At 41.3% G+C, this 19,455-nt stretch overlaps 1 protein-coding gene and 1 pseudogene across 2 annotated transcripts in view, besides 1 other annotated feature; one reads left to right on the plus strand and one right to left on the minus strand.

Annotated features, from left to right (window-relative positions):
* Positions 1–15,074, minus strand: part of PROS1 (protein S) — a 100,846-nt gene extending 85,772 nt beyond the window's left edge. For both annotated transcript variants that reach the window (NM_000313.4, NM_001314077.2), the window contains exon 1: positions 14,852–15,074. In NM_000313.4, the coding sequence (NP_000304.2) occupies positions 14,852–14,927 (76 nt within the window). In that variant the 5' untranslated portion in view covers positions 14,928–15,074. The remainder of the gene's footprint in view (positions 1–14,851) is intronic.
* Positions 12,723–13,017: a silencer, noted in NCBI's record as "tiled region #12381; K562 Repressive DNase matched - State 5:Enh". NCBI's record gives its function as "represses a minimal TATA promoter and a strong SV40 promoter by Sharpr-MPRA in K562 cells {active_cell/tissue: K562}" and the evidence as "EXISTENCE:reporter gene assay evidence [ECO:0000049][PMID:27701403]".
* RNU6-511P (RNA, U6 small nuclear 511, pseudogene) lies at positions 18,207–18,308 on the plus strand (annotated as a pseudogene).

The following is a 19,455-nucleotide window of genomic DNA, read 5'->3' on the forward strand; positions in this document are numbered from 1 at the left end:
GCTTCCCCAGCCACATGGAACTGAAAGTCCAGTTATACCTCTTTCTTTGGTAAACTGCCCAGACTCGGGTACGTCTTTATCAGCAGCATGAAAACAGACTAATGGAGTACGTAATCAATTTAGATGTGAAAATTGACACTTTTTGAAAACACTAGAGGCAGAGGAATTCAGGGTTCAGTTGTTTATATTTAAGCAACTTTTGTAATTTAAAGTTGAAACTTAGAAATGCCACTTTTACTGGGTGCAGTGGCTCACATCTGTAATCTCAGCACTTTGGGAGGCTGAGGTAGAAGGATCCGTTGAGCTCAGGAGTTGGAGACCAGCCTAGGCAACATGGCCAAAATTAGCTGGGCATGGTAGCTCAAGCCTGTAGTCACAGCTATTCAGGAGCTGAGGCAGGAGGATTGCTTGAGCCCAGAAGGTCGAGGCTGCGATGAGCTGTGATCACACCACTGCACTCCAACCTGGGGGACAGAGCAAGACTCTTTCTCAAAATAACAACAACCAAAAAAAGGAATTTAAAAATAATAAAAGAAAGAAAAAAGAAATGCCCATTCCTAAAAGTCTTTACCCACCTCACATCTAGTAATTTCTCACTGGAGACCTTCTCCACAAGCTGCATTCTCTTGCCATGGTGCTCAGCTTTCTTTCTCCCTTCTCTGACATTTCCTCTTCTCTTGCCCTAATTGCCACCTCTGGCCATTCTGCAAAAATTTGTTCACTTATCTATCTTCTCTATCTCATTAAAAACTAGATTGTCTCAAACTTTAAATGTGGATAGAAATTACCTGAAAGTCTTGTTTAAATGCATATTCTGGATGAGTACATCCAGGGTAGGGCCAGATATATTTCATTTTTAGTTAAGTCCCCAGGTAAACCTGATGCTGATGTTCCACGGACCATACTGGAATAGCAAAGTTATAGACCATGTTTCAGGGACTTCACTTTCCAAAACTCAAGCTTCTTTTCAAGGTAATTTCTAATGTAACAACAGTTCTCACCATAGGAGTAATTTCAATATCAGCTGTTACCATATTTTTTCGTTCTGCTACATTAATAGCCAACTCAGTGTAATAATACTAAGTAACTACCAGCTGGTGTGTTAGCAGGCATAGTAAATTATGCCCTCCCTCTATCACAAAGTTTATTCAGATAATTAAAACAACCACACACTTTGTAATATATATTACCAAAGGTTAAATAGGCAATAAGTATTTATACTTCTCTTAGAGGAAAATACATTAATTTCAACCTTAAGAGAAAATGTTTCTAACAGACATAGTGCCGAAGAAATATTCCATGTGCTTCATTGAGTTTTAACTATTTGAACTATAAGCAGAAGTGCGTTTGTCACTTTTTTTTTTTTTTTTTGGAGATGGAGTCTCGCTCTGTCGCCCAGGCTGGAGTGCAGTGGCACGATCTTAGCTCACTGCAAGCTCAGCCTCCTGGGTTCACGCCATTCTCCTGCCTCAGCCTCCTGAGTAGCTGGGACTACAGGTGCCCACCACCATGCCCAGCTAATTTTTTTGTATTTTTAGTAGAGATGAGTTTCACTGTGTTAGCTAGGATGGTCTCAATCTCCTGACCCTGAGATCCGCCCGCCTCGGCCTCCCAAAGTGCTGGGATTACAGCCGTGAGCCACCGCGTCTGGCTGCGTTTGTCACTTTTAAGCTGAGGCAGTTAAAAACAAGTACACCACCTCCATTGCTCTTTTTTTTTTTTTTTTTTTTTTTTTTTTTTGCAGGAACTTTGGATGCTATGTGTTCCAGATGGTATAACTAAAGATGAAAGAGATTTATGCAAACCACACTGAACTTTATATGGTTAAGAAATAATCTCTTATTTTGCCAAGCCATCAAGATTTAGAAATTTGAAAATCAATTTGGAGATTTGAGGATTAATGTGTTATCACTTCATAGACCATCTTATCTTAACTAATATAAAGGTATGAAACATTTAAACTAATACCTGTAACAGAGGTTATTCAATAATGTGCTTGTTTCTTTGTTAATAATAAAAATCAGAGGGCTCTAATAAAAGTAAAAACACATAGATAAAATAGAGTTGTTCAGGTTTATTCCTTGAATAAAATAACCAATAAAACAAAAGGGCAAAAGAAAAAAAAACAAAGGCGGTTTTTTAAATATTAGAGACTAGCTATTGAGAAAAAAAAAACACTTTTCTAAATTATCCTTTAAATGGAAAAATTAAGACCCTGCAAAGCTTTATGATAGTTCAATTCATGATTCTAAAAAAGGGAAACAAAATCATAAAGTATGTTAAAACTTGAATAGTCTTTGGATAGATCACCTGGCATGACTGGGAGGATGACAAAGAGGAATTGTCTTTCAAACAGAAGGACCAGCATGTGAAAAGGCCATAGGGGAGAAGGGACAGAGAATGGTCCATTTTGAGAGGAGAAGCAGGGAAAGGTCAGTTGTAGGAAGAGATAAGGCTGGAATCCCCTAGATTTTGAGCTTTGCATGCCAAATTCAGATTGCAGAAACAGTGATAGGAGACAAAAAGCAGCAGCTGATGCTTTTAAAATTGATTTTATAGAAGCAAATTGCCATGTTATGGTGAGGGCCACATGGCGGGAATGGTGAGAGGTCTCAGGAGCTGAGGGCCTCAATCCTACACTTGTGAGGAACTGAATTCTCCCAACAATCAGGAAGCCTGGAAGTGGACTTCAAGCTTCAAATGAGATCTCAACCATGACCAACCCATTGATTTTAGCCTTGTGAGATTCTGAGCAACTTAACTGGATTTGTGCCTGGACTTTTGACCTATGCAACTGTGAGATAATAAATTGTGTTTTCCTAAGCTGTTAAATTTTTGGTAATGTGTTACAAAGCAATAGAAAATGAATACAAAAAGAGATAGCATAATTTTTAATCAGGCTGAATGTGGTAATATTGCTGCTTTCATTCCATTTGCTAGCTAGGGCTGCCAGCTTCCGTTCTAACAGTTGGCTTGGTTGGCTAATGCCATCCTAGACCAATCTTGGCACACACCAAATAACATTGAAAAGCCAGACATTCCTTGGCATAATGTAACAGAAAGAATTCAAAAAGACTAGGAGACAGAAATTCTGGCTTGAATTTTTTACGTCACCCCTACCTATTCTCTCCTCCTCAATCATCCCCACTCTCCCCCAATATAGAAGAGAAGACTACATTTTCACTGATCCTGTGAAAAACGATTATTGGAGAAACCACTGGAATTTTTAATAAGCATTTTACTGGCAGTTCTCCCTAGATCAAACATGCTGGTGGGAGGGACAGCAATGGAAATGAGCCCCCAGATTTCAAGTGGAATGGGAAGAAACAGGGGTGGCTGAGCTTAGTTAGCAGCTCTTACTCACCTGAACAAAAACTGGGGTGTGTGTAGTGATCACATTTTGGAGAAAGGATTAACAAGCAGAGATCTCACGAGATTGAGATGAATAGACAACCCACCGATTTCTTCACTGTTTCATGCACAAACTCCCTATACTAGCAAATAGAGGCTGTACTTCAACCACAATAAAAATAAATCACTGCCTCTCCTTAATCACCAATTTTGAGTTATCTGACTGATCCAGAACCTCTTGAGTGAAGGAGAGGAGAGAGGCCCTTAAGGAAGTATCCTTCTGTTACAGTTTCATACTATAAGCTTTTCTCCCAGTTTCTCCAAACTAAAGTATCTTACCTGAATAACTACACTGAAGAGAAACATCCCAAAAACCTTTAGTGATTATTAGATAGTGGGCTTTGAGGAAGCAAAATGTCTAAGACCTAATGTATGCTGATTAAGGTATGCTGGTTGGAATTGAGGCTTATGCAAGTCAGCTGATAAGCAGAATTCTGTCCTAAAACCATCTAACTATAGGCCTAATCAGACTCAAACCCAAAGCTTTCATTCCTTCCCTAGGACTGAGAGCAGTGGACTCTCAGTGGACTCTTCAGCAAGAGTTTGGTCATGTTGGAACATTCCTGCAGAAGTGAGAGAAGTTGTTATGTACCTGAGTGTCCATCACTAAGGTAGAAGAATAAATTTTGGTAGATGTCTTATTTTTGAGGCATATTCCATTTTAAGGTTTTCTACTATGATCTATTTACCACAGGAGTCGAAAGGCTGCCAAATATAGATGGGAACCATAGTAAGAGAATGCTCTCCAGCTAGTTCAAAGTTCAAATCAAGTGGTCTGTCACTTGGCCTAGCCAATGATCCATCAGATCCAATTGTGCTCAAATTTTCTGAAGAGCAAGGTCCTCTTCAGAAGCTGCAGCAAGTTCCAGAAGAGAAATTTCAGTAGAGATCTCCACGATTTGTGCAAGTCTCATTTCCTTCAGCAAGCAATTCGTTTTCTTTTGAGAAACTGCTCTTGGGTTTTTTGTTGTTTGTTTGTTTTTTGGGACTTAAGTGGAGTCTGAAAATCTGACTATCTGACACCTGGTGACCATGAGATGTAAACAGCTCATCATAAGCGGGATGCTGTCTTTTCCATTGAGCTATGTAGTTGTGATAGCATAAACCATGCTCAACTGTTATAAATAAGATGAGCCTAAAGGCATAACTTAGTTGCCAACACAGGTTGGTCACTCTCTTGACTTCCTCCTCACCCTCAAACCCCCTCATTGGTCTCATAAGAAGAGATCTATGACCAACTAATCTCTGGCTTACAGATGTGTTAATCTGTCTGCATCACTACAAAGGAATACTTGAGGGTGGATAATTTATAAAGAAAAGGAGTTTAATAGGATCACCATTCTGCAGGCTGTACAAGAAGCATGGTGCCAGCATCTACTCCTGGTGAGGGCCTCAGGAAGCTTCCAATCATGGTAGAAGGCAAAAGGGGAGCAGTGGATCACATGGCCAGAATGGGAGCGCGAGCTAGAAGGAGAGGTCCCAGACTTTAAACAACCAGATCTCACGTGAACCTCTGTGAATCTCATATGAGAAGTCACTCATCACCTAGGGGCTGGTGCTAAGTTATTCATAAGGGACCTACCCCCATGACCAAAACACCTCCCACCAGGCACCACCTCCTACAATGGAGGTGCCTTCCCTCCCCTCCCCTTCCGTTCCCTTTCCTTTTCTTTCTTTTCTGTTGCAGGAAGTCAGGGACCCTGAATGGAGGGACCGGCTGGAGCCACAGCAGAGGAACATGAATTGTGAAGATTTCATTTTAATATGGACATTTATCAGTTCCCAAATTAATACTTTTATAATTTCTTATGCTTGTCTTACTTTAATCTCTTAATCCTGTTATCTTCCTAAGCTGAGGATGTACATCACCTCAGGGCCACTATGATAATTGTGTTAACTGTACAAATTGATTGTAAAACGTGTGTTTGAACAATATGAAATCAGTGCACCTTGAAAAAGAACAGAATAACAGTGATTTTAGGGAACAAGGGAAGACAACCATAAGGTCTTACTCCCTGCGGGGTTGGGCAAAAACAGCCATATTTTTCTTCTTGCAGAGAGCCTATAAATGGATGAGCAAGTAGGAGAACATTGCTAAATTCTTTTCCTAGCAAGGAATATTAATATTAAGGCCCTGTGAAAGGAATTCATTCCTGGGGGGCCGCTTATAAACGGCCACTCTGGGAACGTCTGTCCTATGCGGTTGAGATAAGGACTGAGATACACCCTGGTCTCCTGCAGTACCCTCAGGCTTACTAGGGTGGGGAAAAAACCTCACCCTGGTAAATTTGAGGTCAGACTGGTTCTCTGCTCTCGAACCCTATTTTCTGTTGTTTAAGATGTTTATCAAGACAATATGTGCACCACGGAACAAAGACCCTTATCAGTAATTCTGCTTTTGCCCTTTGCCTTGTGATCTTTGTTCTCCCTTTTGCCCTTTGAAGCATGTGATCTTTGTGACCTGCTCCCTGTTCTTACACCCACTCCCCTTCTGAAATCCTTAATAAAAACCTGCTGGTTTTGAGGGTCAGGTGGGCATCACAGTCCTACAGATACGTGGCGTCACCCCCGGAGGTGCAGCTGTAAAATTCCTCTCTTTGTACTCTTTCTCTTTATTTCTCAGCCAGCCAACACTTATGGAAAATAGAAAGAACCTATGTTGAAATATTGAGGGCAGGTTCGGATTTCCTAGGCCAACTAAGAATCCCTAAGCCTAGCTGGGAAGGTGACTACATCCACCTTTAAACAAGGGGCTTGCAACTTAGCTCACACCCGACCAATCAGAGAGCTCACTAAAATGCGAATTAGGCAAAAACAGGAGGTAAAGAAATAGTCAATCAACTATTGCCTGAGAGCACAGCGGGAGGGACAAGGATCGGGATAAAAACCCAGGCATTCGAGCCGGCAATGGCAACCCCCTTTGGGTCCCCTCCCTTTGTATGGGAGCTCTGTTTTCACTCTATTTCACAATATTAAATCTTGCAACTGCCCTCTTCTGGTCTGTGTTTGTTACGGCTCAAGCTGAGCTTTTGCTCGCCGTCCACAACTGCTGTTTGCCGCCGTCGCAGACCCGCTGCTGACTCCCATCCCTCCGGATCCGGAAGGGTGTCCGCTGTGCTCCTGATCCAGCGAGGCGCCCATTGCCGCTCCTGATCTGGCTAAAGGCTTGCCATTGTTCCTGCATGGCTAAGTGCCCGGGTTTGTCCTAATCGAGCTGAACACTAGTCACTGGGTTCTACGGTTCTCTTCTGTGACCCAAGGCTTCTAATAGAGCTATAACACTCACTGCATGGCCGAAGATTACATTCCTTGGAATCCATGAGGCCAAGAACCCCAGGTCAGAGAACACTAGGCTTGCCACCACCTTGGAAGCTGCCTGCCACCATCTTGGAAGCAGCTCACCACCATCTTGGGAGCTCTGTGAGCAAGGACCCCCCGGTAACAACCTGATACTTTTCTTTTCTTTTCTATTTTTATTTTTTATAGAGTCTCATTCTGTCACCAAGGCTGGAGTGCAGTGGCATGATCTCGATTCACTGCAGCCTTCACCTCCCAGGTCCCAGCGATTCTCCTGCCTCAGCCTCCTGAGTAGCTGGAATTACAGGTGGGCACCACCACATCTGGCTAATTTTTGTATGTTTAGTAAAGACAGGGTTTCATCATGTTGGCCAGACTGATCCCAAACTCCTGACCTCAAGTGATCCACCTGCCTCGGCCTCCCAAAGTGCTAAAGACTTGAGATTACAGGCATGAGCCACTGCGCCTGGCCAGAAGTCACTTTTCAACATGAGATATGGAGGGGACAAAACATCCTAACCATATCAACAGACGCCTCTCTGTGGTATACCAATATGAGCCAGATGTATACCTCCTATAAAGCTACAGCCAAAAACTAACAAACTAACCTCTCTCAGGGGTGGTCCTGAGAGGCACTGGAGAAGCAAAACCCTCACTATGGGCAGACATATAAGTGGCATTTCTCATTGTTCACTTTGCCTACAATGAGAAATTGCCTGAGATGGTTGCAAATGGTCTTTCCAGAGGTTCAGTGACTTGTAAAGAGGTAGATCACAGGCTTAGGGACGAAGTTCAAGCAAGAATTGTCCCAGAGATGAGAATGTTTGTGTTCCAGGTGAACATTCACAAGACAGCACCACACCAGAGAAGTTATTAGTAATAATGATGGCAGAATGACCTACTTAATGACCATCAGTTATGTTTCCTCTCAAGACTATCTAGTGCAAGGACCACAAACTAAAAATTCTAAGTGTCCAGTAGGCAGCATAAACAAAGGAAGATAATTTGGTTAAAGACAATGGGAGATGCTCAGCATTGTAGCAAACTGCAGCGGGCACATTCTATCTAAAGAAGGCAGATCACCACACCTGTAATCCCAGCACTTTGGGAGGCCAAGGCGGGTGGATCACAATGTCAGGAGTTCAACACCAGCCTGGCCAACATGGTGGAACCCCATCTCTACTAAAAATACAAAAATTAGCTGGGCGTGGTGGCAACATGCCTGTAGTCCCAGCCACTCAGGAGGCTGAGGCAGGGCGACAGAGCAAGACTCTGTTCCAAAAAAAAAAAAAAAAAAGAAGAAGGCAGCTCACAATCAGCTTCAGCTGAATCTTACCATGTTGGGATGTGCGCCAGTGTTGTCAGATGTTCCTTCATTGTTTCTCAAGAGAAGCCATAAAACCAAATGTTGACATGAAATGTTCCAATTTTTGAAACGTATAAGGGCCAAACACAGAAGTTTATAGGCCACATATGGCTTTCGGGTTGCCCCCAGTCTAATGTTTATCCAATATTTATTTAAAAAGGAAGCCACAGTGGCAAGGATGGAGGCTACACATTGGCCACACTGGATCTGCCACATGAACTTTCCTTCACTAAGGCCCACCCAGACTCTCCTTATAAAAGTAAAAACACCAAATTTTTCTGCAGGATTGCTATTCCTCGAGCTGCTAAAAGTTGAACATATCACATAGTTCAATCAGATTATCCGGTAGATTGTTGATTAAGAAGGGCTCTTCCATCATGGAGGAGCAGCATAGGTAGAGACACTTATTGGGATTTAATTTTTCTGTCAGCACAACTATTGGTAGACTTATTCAATGCTTTATGCTAAGCCACACAACACTACCTCTAAGGATTTAACACCACAATTAAAACAAATCAGTGGAAGGATTATAGTTTTCCTTGGCCTTAGTGTATATCCTAATATCTGGAAGGAGCTAACCTTATGGAATGATGAACTCACCAATTATAGAGGGCTCACTCACTGTAAGACACAACACTATCTTTCAAAATATGGTTTTAAAAAATATGGTATGTTCTCTGTACCAGCAATCATTAAAATATAGTGCTATCTAGGCATAGTGGCTCACACCTGTAATCCCAGCACTTTGGGAAGCTGAGGCCAGAGAATCCCTTGAGTCCAGGAGTTTAAGATCAGCCTGGGAAACATAGCAAGATCTCATCTCTACTAAAAATCAAAAAGAACATTAGTTGGTGTAATGGCATGCACCTATAGTCCTAGTTACTTGGGAGGCTGAGGTGGAAGGATCCCTTGAACCTGGCAGGTCGAGGCTGCAGTGAGACATGATTGTGCTACTGCACTCCTCCAGCCCATGCAACAGAATGAGGCCCTGTCTCAAAAAATAAATAAATAAATAAATAAAAGATTGTAGGCTGGTCCAATAGTAGTGGGTTATCAGAACTTGTTAATATTAGTATCATTAAGTTGATACACAACCTCCAACTGGCAAATTTGACTGGCTTAAAATAAAATAAAATACAGCACTATTTTACTAAAGCCAAAATACACAGATCCAGAATAAAGGGAAAAAGGAAAGAAGTACTTGTCATGATATGATGTTTAATGACTGCTATGGCTGACCCCAAAAGATGCTGAAGTTGTAATTCCCTAGTACCTGTAAATATGACCTTATTTGGAAATAGGGTCTTTGCAGATGATCAAATTAAGATGAGGTCATTAGGGTAGGCCTTAATCCAGTGAGTCTGGTGTCCTTATAAAAAGGGGAAATGTGGGCACAGAGACAGACATGTACAGAGGGAAAACGATGTGAAGACACAGGAATAATGCCACCCCAAAGCCAAGGAACATCTGAGGTTACCAGGAGCTAGGAGAAAGCATGAAACATATTCTCCCCTCACAGCCCTCAGAAGAAACCAACCTTCCTGATACCTTGATTTTGGACTTCTAGACTTCAAAATTGTGAGACCACAACTTTCTGTTGTTTAAACCACCTACTTTGTGGTACTTTATTATGGCAGTCCTAGGGGACTAATACAGTTACCTAATCTCAAATTTTTTACATTCCGTCCTCACAACTGCATTCGGCTCACCTACAAATTTGGAAACCAAGAATGGTTTCCAAGGAATGCATTCACTAGGGGATCTAACATATTTTCCACTGAATTATAAGCTCAGACTGCTGTGTTGCCATTTGAAGCTCTTTACCTGCTGAAAAAAAATAAAGAAATAAAAATCAGAGGATTATGTTAGAAGGAAGACAATAATCCAGGCAAAATAGTGTTGTTGCCACATACTAATCAGGGTTAGGTGTGAAGCCCCTCCAGGATGACTACTGTCCACAGGAGAAATAGGAAAAGAAACAATGGATGGACCACCCACAGGTAGGGACAATAAGGGCTCGGATTCTTCCTGAATATGCTATGGTTCATCTTATTGAGCAAACACAAACATGAGGCACTTGCATCCTGAGGGCAAGAGAGCTATGAAATGGGTAGGGAAAGAGTCATAAATACCAGCTCATGCTTGTAACCAAGGGAGAGAAAGGCAAGCCCTAAAACCATTACCTGTATTCCCTTGCCTGTTTTTTTTGTTTTTGCTTTTGTTTTCTTTTTTTTTTTTTTTTTTTGCATATAAGATGTGTTGGTACACTATAATGTATCATTTTATCCATAAAGCATAGCACAGAAATACAGGAATCATGGCCATCACTTGATGATACCTAGGAAATGGAAGCCTCAAGCCTTCCTCTCTGAATGTGGTGCCTGGAACCAATTGAGGAGAGGGTTCTTTCTCTGTGCAGTAGTTATTTGCATTATATCAGATAAATATTTTCAAATGGTGTGTATGGAAAGAAGGGCAAGTGTATTTGTTAGACAGCCAATAATTAGAATATGTAGACTTTTCTTATTTCTGTGTCCTTCCCAGCATCCATTCTTTTGTGGGAACTGTTCTTCCGGCACTCTGTGCAATTCTAGTGAGCTGTCGATCACAGGACTCCAGTGCCAGGCTAAGCCAAAATGATCAGGGCCTCCTAGGAATTTGAGCTGTTCACAGAGACACATAGGACTGGAAGACAGAATTGAGTCATCTGATTGGCAGCTCCTCAAGTACTGTCACATGAGTTCCCACTGTATAGGTCACCTAAATGTTCGCATTCCTTCTGTAGGCCTGGCTTCTGTAGGCCTGGCTGTTCAGCTAGCCATTCAGTAGCCTTCCAATAAATTATTTAACTGCTCCTTCCTTCCTTCCTCTCTTTTTTCTTTTCCTTTTTTCTTTCCTTTAGTTAGCAATAGTTCATTACTGTTGCTTATAGGCAAAGAATACTGTATTATCAGGCATAATATTTTGAAGGTTTAAGTATGTATATAGATCGCTCAAGCTGCAAAAATATAAACTTGATGAACAGAAAAGGTCTATTGTTTCTTAGCACAGAATTAATAGTAAGAGAATGTGGCATAGGGTTTGATGTTGTATTACTGTATATTAGAAATTGTTTCTAACTCTTCCAGCACAAACTCCAACTGTAACCTAACCTTGATAAAATCTCTCCATCAGTGCAACATTTTGGACTTTTTAGTAAAGATAATTTAAGAAAAGATAAGCCTTCATAACTAGTAAAAGGAATAGTTAGAGAAAGAAAGAAGAGGGTACAAAAGAGGAGGAAAATATGAGTCAGTAGTGTCTAGAGTAGCCTGCACTGGCCCAGGGTGGCAGTCTAGATAAGGCCAAATTAGCACAGCCAAAGGGACATCCTCTTTCTCCTATTTCCTCACCACATGCCTTAAGTGGGAAATGATTAAAATATGTAGACAGTATCTATTTTATTTTTATTATTTTTGGAGACAGGATCTCGCTCTATCACCCAGGCTGGAGTGCAGTGGCATAATCATGCTCACTGCAGCCTCAACCTCCTGGGCTCAAGTGATCTTCCCACCTTAGACCCCTGAGTAGCTGGGCCTACAAGTGTGTACCAACACATCCGGCTAATTTTTTTTTTTAATTTCTTTTGTAAAGACGGGGTCCCACTATGCTGCCCAGGCTGGTCTTGAACTCCTGGCTTCACGCGATCCTTCCTCCTCAGCCTCCCAAAGTGCTGGGATTACAGGCATGAGCGGCTATGACCGGGTGACAGTATATATGTTAAATATAGAGATTCTCATCTCTCTCTCTCATACATATATGTATGTATATATATGTATTCTGGAAAATTAGTTAATATCTCTGAACAATTTCTTTTTTTATTTTTAAAACAAATAAGTTGAATTAGATTATTTCTAATAACTCTTTCTAAAATAAAGCTATGATTTGTAAATGTTTTTCTTTAAATCACAACTATAAGCCAGCCATGGTGGTGCATACCTACAGTCCCAGACACTCAGAAGGCTGATGGGAGGATTCCTTGAGGCCAGGAGTTCAAAGCTGTAGTGCCCTATAATAGTGCCTGTGAATAGCCACTGCACTCCGGTCTGGGCAAGATTTTTTTTAATCACAAAAATATTTTTTTAATCGTCCTTAGCTTTCTATGGCCTAAACAATGAATTATAGGCTGGATAAGGTGGCTCACTCCTGTAATCCCAGCACTTTGGGAGGCTGAGGTGGGCAGATCACTGGAGGTCAGGAGTTCAAGACCAGCCTGGCCAACATAGTGAAACCCTGTCTCTACTAAAAATACAAAAATTAGCCGGGTATGGTGGTGCATGCCAGCTGGTGCAATACCAGCTACTTGGGAGGCTGAGGTGGGGGGATCACTTGAACCCAGGAGGCAGAGGTTGCAGTGAGCTGGGATCACGCCACTGCACTCCTGCACTCCAGCCTGGGCAACAGAGCAAGACTCCATCTCTAAATAAATAAATAAATAAATAAATAAATAAATAAATAAATAAATAATTCTAAATAAAGAACTACACAATGAATTACAAATAAAATATTTACAGCTCTAATTATATCTCAGATTTAAAATCATATGGAGGCTGGGCACAGTGGCTCACACCTGTAATCCCAGCACTTTGGGCAGCCAAAGTAGGCAGGCCGCTTGAACCCTGGAGTTCAAGACCAGCCTAGGCAATATGGCAAAACACCAACTCTACCAAAAAAACAAAACAAAATAAAAACCACACACACACACACACACACACACACACACACACACACACACATAAATTAGCTGGGTGCGGTGCTAGATAGGTGCTGATCTGGGAGGATCCCATGAGCTCGGGAGGGGGAGGTTGCCATGAGCTATGATCATGCCACTGCACTCCAGCCTTAGTGACAGAACTAGACCGTCTCAAAAAAGTAAATAAATAAAAATAAAGTAAAATCAAATCATATGGATTAAAAACATCACATCTATATCCAAATTTCCTCATAAGTAAACCACAGATGACTTTTAATCCAATTAAGCAATCAAAAACTTTTAACTGAAAGCATTATGGGGCCAACTATTCTTTATGTGATATACTTGAAGAATTAATTTATCTGCTCTATCAGTGTTATATATAACAAGTGTAATTCCCCATATGTTTATATATAATACACATACACAAACCCATATAATTTTTACCTCTGCCTAGATTCAGTCAAAATGTAACAATCTCTACAAAGAGAAAAAGCCTAGCAAATTTCTATGATGACAAGGAGTTAAGTGTGGCAAGCTACTTTGCCTTTCTCCTCTCCAAAACACTAGCTATGAAGCAAATATTTAATTGTCCTAATGAACTATTTAGGTAATAAGCGCATGTAGTTACAAATTGGCTGAATGATAGGGGTTTGAATGCTGAAGTTTTGCAATTGTAGCTGTTTAATGTAAGATCAAAAAATAATGTTTTAGTCCCAAGTTAGATTTTTAAAGTACTGCATTCATCCTGATGACTAACTAATAGAAACTAGTGGAATGTTAGCAAATTGATATATAATTTTCTAGAAATTTCCATCTTCAAAAAGTTTACTTTGGAGCTCTAGACTCCTAAAAGTTATTTGTAATTCAGAGTTCTCACTCCTGTTCCAATCCCTGAAAATAAAACATAGAACAAGAAGTCATTTTTGGCCAGGTGCGGTGGCTCACGCCTGTAATCCCAGCACTTTGGGAGGCCAAGGCGGATGGATCACCGGAGGTCAGGAGCTCGAGACCAGCCTGGCCAACATGGTGAAACCCCGTCTCTAGTAAAAATACAAAAAAAAAAAAAAAATAGCCGGGTGTCGAAGCAGGCACCTGTAATCCCAGCTGCTCGGGAGGCTGAGGCATGAGTATCACTTGAAGCCGGGGGGCGGAGGTTGCATTGAGCGGAGATCCAGCCACTGCAGTCCAGCCTGGGCAGCAGAGCGAGACTCACCCTCAAACAAACAAACAAAAAGGCGTTTTTATTCAATAAACACACTTACAACTTTAGAAAACAAATTAACTGACCACTAAAATGTACTAATTGCCTTGGTATTCCTTATATATTTTTCAGAGAAAACTCAATATCCTGTCTTGAATCCGGGCATAAGGACATAAAGAACCTGAAACACAAAGATAAAGAATTCATGCCACCACCTCAGATCAGTGGCATGCAGTGTTAAAAAATCCTCAGTACAAACGATCTGAGAAATAGAATACAGTATTTAACAGTCCTTTTGATTTCAGGGTTAGAAAGTGACATATATCTACTGCTATACAAACCCTCAGTCATCCTAAAACATTTCGTTAATGTGAGACAAGCAAACCAAGCTCAAAGTCCAGAAATTGCAAAAGGGAGGCAGGTTTCAGGAGACGGGTGCAGGTTGGGGGCAGGCGCTTGGACAAAGGGAAGACACAGTGTGTTACCTTTTCTTCCCTACTCATAAGCTAGAATCTGCTCATCCTAGTTCTCTGACTGGGAACTTCAGCTTTGAAGGGAAATGGGCAGGTGTTCTCATCCCTCCATTGATACTTAGTGTCATCTAGGTTCTTAGATCTGTCCTGTAGGCAATACATTCTCGCAACTGTGCAAATAGTGATCCTGCCCCACCATTGCACTGCCTGCTCTATCCACGGCTGTTTCCATCCGCTGGGTGTCTGTCGGTACTTACTGGAAACTTTCTAGGAGGCTGCAGCTCTAGAGAAGAAAATCCTACCAACCAGGGCACGCAGTTCAGTCGACAATGCTGGGGAAGGGAGAAGAGACGCTATTGATTACTCACAGTTTGCCTCTGAGACGGGAAGCACTAGGAGGAGACACGCCAGCAGCGCCCCGCAGCGCCCACCCAGGACCCTCATTTCGAAGCGCGCGGAGGCGCCGGCAGGGACGGTGGCGCGTCGCGGCGGGGACCGGAGCGCTAGGCGCCGCGGAGCTGCGAGCCTGTGCGCCTCGGTCTGAGCCGTGCTGCGCGGCGGCGCCAGCGACCCAGCGAGCCTCGGCGGAACAGCCGGGGGCGGAGGAGACCGCCCGCTCCCAGCGCCCAGCCCGAGAGGGGAAGTGATAACAAGGACATTTCCAGGAAGCTTTTCGGAGCTGGGGGATGGGCTCTAGTGTTGGAGGCCTAGTAAACACTGCTGAGACATCCTTCTTCACCAGCTCCCTAGTTGCTGCTTTTCCTCCACAGTGTGACGTTTCCAAAGGGGAAGGGGTGGGGAACGCAGTTCTCTGACTGGTCAAGACAACTTCCAGGGTTCAAGAGGACAGGATCCCTAGGTTCAGAAGCAGAAACAGTGAGACACTGAGTTGTCCCTGAAGATATTAACCAAAACCTGGAAGTCAATGAGGACTTTAGGAAGAACTATGGTGATAGTAAAAGCAAATGGGGTCATTTTGATCATCCACATGTTTTTTCGGTCTTGTATGCCATACAGGCATAAAAATAATGTAAAGAACATGAAGAAAAGAAGGGAATATTAGAATAATCTACCTTAAAAAAAATCTTGCTCCGATAAAGACTTCAGTTGAAAGTGAATATCTATCTATACATCTACCTATTTATTAATTTAAAAAAATTTTTTTTTTTTTTGAGACAGAGTCTCACTCTGTCGCCCAGGCTGGAGAACAGTGGCGCAATTTCGGCTCACTGCAACCTCCACCTCCCGGGTTCAAGTGATTCTCCTGTCTCAGCCTCCTGAGTAGGTGGGATTACAGGCGCCTGACACCATGCCTGGCTAGTTTTTTTGTATTTTTAGTAGAGACAGGGTTTCACCATGTTGGCCAGGCTGGTTCTGAACTCCTGATCGTGAGTGATCTGCCTGCCTCGGTCTCCCAAAGTGCTGGGATTACAGGTGTGAGCCACCACACCTAGCCTTATTTATTTATTTATTTATTTATCCGAGACAGGGTCTCACTAGGTTGCCCAGACTGGAGTGCAGTGGTGCAATCATAGCTCACTGCAGCCTCGAACTTCTGAGCTCAAGCAATCCTCCTGCCTCAGTCTCCTGAGTACCTAGGACTACAGTCACACACCACTATGCCAGGCTAATTTTTTAATTTGTTTTTTTTTTTTTTTTTTTTTTTTGGTAGAGATGGTATCGCTGTGTTGCCCAGACTGGTCTGGAACTCCTGACCTCAAGTGATCCTCTTGCCTTGGCCTCCCAAAGCTTTGGGATTACAGGTGTGAGCCACTTCTCCTGGCCTGAATATCTTTTTAATACCACAAATTTGCATCACATTGCCAGTAATAATTGTCAACACTGAAAATTTATGTGTCCTACACTGTAACGTCAAACTTTGTAAAACCATCTGGAATCTATTAATATACAATTTGACAATACATCTTTCAATAAAATTCTGGGTTTTTAATTAATCTCAGAAGTTAACTTTGTGAAAGTGATATCTGGCTTTAGCTCAATATGAATTGACACTTGGTAATCTCATTTAGCCAAAGTTTGGTTTTGATACAGACCTTAATATACAATTAAAACCTGTCCAAAATTTAACTCTTAATCTAGTCTCATTCATAATCTTAATCCCATCATTTTTCCAGTGTTACACTTCTCCATATCATCTTCTACCAACATAGTGTCTACTTATCCACTTCTTCATCTGTCTTCACCAGTAAAATGTAAGATTCATGAGAGCAGGAATTTTTAAAGGTTTTGTTCACAACTATATTACTAGTGCTTAAAACAGTGACTGGTACATAAACGTTTCATTCTATTTAAGTCAACAGTGTGTGCCTGGGAATATTTATGCCAAAATATCAACAATTATCCTGAAATGACAGTGTTAACTAGAATCATAGCAGCATGACTCTTTTCATCATTCAGAATAAACCAGATTACACACTAAAAAGCCAGAAAATTACAGTGTTTTAGATAAGAAGTGTTTATTTCTTGCTCATTGGAAGTCTACTACAAGTCTGCATGACTTTCCAAGTAACTATCTTCCATGTGTGAACTCAGCAATTCATGCTGCTTTGATTTTACAATCCCTCAAAGTCAACATAGTCTTCTACAATTACCATTGCAAGAGAAGAGAGAACATTGAGAATTGTGCCCCAGCTCTTAAATACTTTTACCAAGAAGTGACATACCACTTACATTTCATTAGACAAAGCAAGGCACGAGGTATGCCTGACTTGAAGAGGGTGGGAATAACTGTTATTTCATGTGCCTGTAAGGAAAGAGAACTAGACATGGTGAGCAGCACTTATGGCTACCAAACCACTTAAGATATTCAAAAACTAAGAGTCAGCTTTGCTAAGGGACTGCATGTTGGCACCAGGAATGCTCGGTAATGTTATCACTAGCAGAAATGGGGAAGGCATGAAGTAGAGCAGATGCTTTAATAGTATTGTTTCATTATGACATGGCTGAGAAAAATAAAATCAACTACTGGCCCAGGCCACTGTGTGTATGGAGTTTGCATGTTCTCCCCACGTCTGCATGGGTTTTCTCCAGGTACTCCATTTTCCTCCCACATCTGAAAGATGTGGATGTTAGGTGAATTGGTGTGTTTAAACTGTCCCAGTCTAAGTGAGTGTGGGCATGTATGAGAGCACCCTGTGATGGAATGGTGTCCTGTCAAGGGCTAGTTCTCACCTTTTACCCTGAGATGCCACCTATGATCCTGAACTGGAATAAGTGGACAAATAATTATCTTACTTGTTGTTATTCATCTTTCTTAATGTATAGCTCACATTTATTTCAATGTTTACTATTACTAGTGGTTCCATCTTTATTTTGAAGTTTGGTGATGTTTTTGTGACCAGAAATGTGCCACAGGAACTTAATTGATTTATATCAATTTGTCTGTGGTAAAATTGGTTTTATTGTATGTTATTTTGTTTAAAATTATAGTTTCTAAGAACCTCTGGATGAAGATAAATGAGGATTTACTGCAAAACTGGTGTTGAGTATATATTTGTGAAAAAACAGTCTTGAATATAGTTCTAAAAATGCTCAAGAAACATACACATCATGAGATCCTTCAGTCACAGAAATAATAATCAAATTCCATCAAGACAACATGTTTTAAAAAAGAAAAGCAGAGGGGTAAGGTCATATCTTAGAAGTTACATATAGAAATCCAGAGGAGGAATGGCCTGGGAGATCAGAAGAGAACCAGGGGTTGTGCTCACTTCATCAGCACATATACAACAATTGGAATGATACAGAGAAGATTAGCATGGCCCCTGAACAAGGATGACATGCAAATTCATGAAGCGGTCCATAATAAGTTAAAAAAACAAAGAAGAAGAGAACCAGGGTAGGGTAGTGCAGTGCATAACTGTGAAAGACCAAGGCAGGAAACAGTTTTAGAAAAGTTAACTATATTATATATATATTAAATAATAGAAAAGAAAACCGATTTGGTAATTAGGAAGATATAAGTTATATCAAAAAATATGCTTTCAGTAGTTAGATGGGACAGAAGCCCAATCATAGTAAATGGATCAAAGAGTGAATACAAACAATATAACTTTAGGGTTTGCAAGACACTAGTTTAAGAAAGTGAGTCATGAAAGTAGAGTCAGCAGAAACAGTCCTAAATTGGCTTGGAGTTAATGGAGCATTGCAGTCTTATCCTGCCCTGCTCTCCTGTCTCCCACCATGGATATTTGGAGGTAGGAGGACACATACCATAAGTGTTTATGGGACAGGTGACACCAACTTTAAAATTTGCTATCTATTATTTATCAGAAATTACACTTGAGCTTCATTTCTCTCATTTCATCACCTTAGCAACCTGGAAAAGTAGGTATTTTAATTTCCATGTTATAGATAGGGTTGTTGGAGCTTAGAAGAAAATATCCCAGAATAAAGGCCTCAGAAGCAAAGTTTCTGTCTCTAACCTTCTGTTCCTCGTCTCTTGCCCCTCATTCTCCCACTATGCAAGCCATAGAAACTATAATTCCTCTTTCTCCAGGTGCAGTTATAGAAACCACAACCCCCTTTCCCCAAAGCCAGCCACAAACCCCAAAATATTACTCTAACCTTCTTCCTTTCCATGAAAGACCTGCCCATAAATAAATTCTTTGACTTGCATTGTTTGATAGTACGTCTTAAGACTCCCATTCTAGAAAGGGTCCTACCCCATACCCTGGAAGAAGGAATGCTGAACAATCAGGTCAAGAGGAATCTGAACAGACAGGCCTTGCTGAGTTTCTCCACACAGTCTGCTCTCATTAGGTCATATCCTTTTTGACCAATGAGAGTTCTTCAGGGTTTTTCATTCTTCATCGAACCCAAGTATAAAAATGGGTAGTCTTCCCTGCATCTTTGCATCTCCATTTGCAAGGTTCCCATGTCACATAAAACTTGGATTAAATAAATTTGTTATGCTTTTCTCTTGCTATTCTTTTTGTTATATGAGTGTTGG

This window comes from Homo sapiens, chromosome 3 (assembly GCF_000001405.40).
Source record: "Homo sapiens chromosome 3, GRCh38.p14 Primary Assembly".
NCBI lineage: Eukaryota > Metazoa > Chordata > Mammalia > Primates > Hominidae > Homo > Homo sapiens.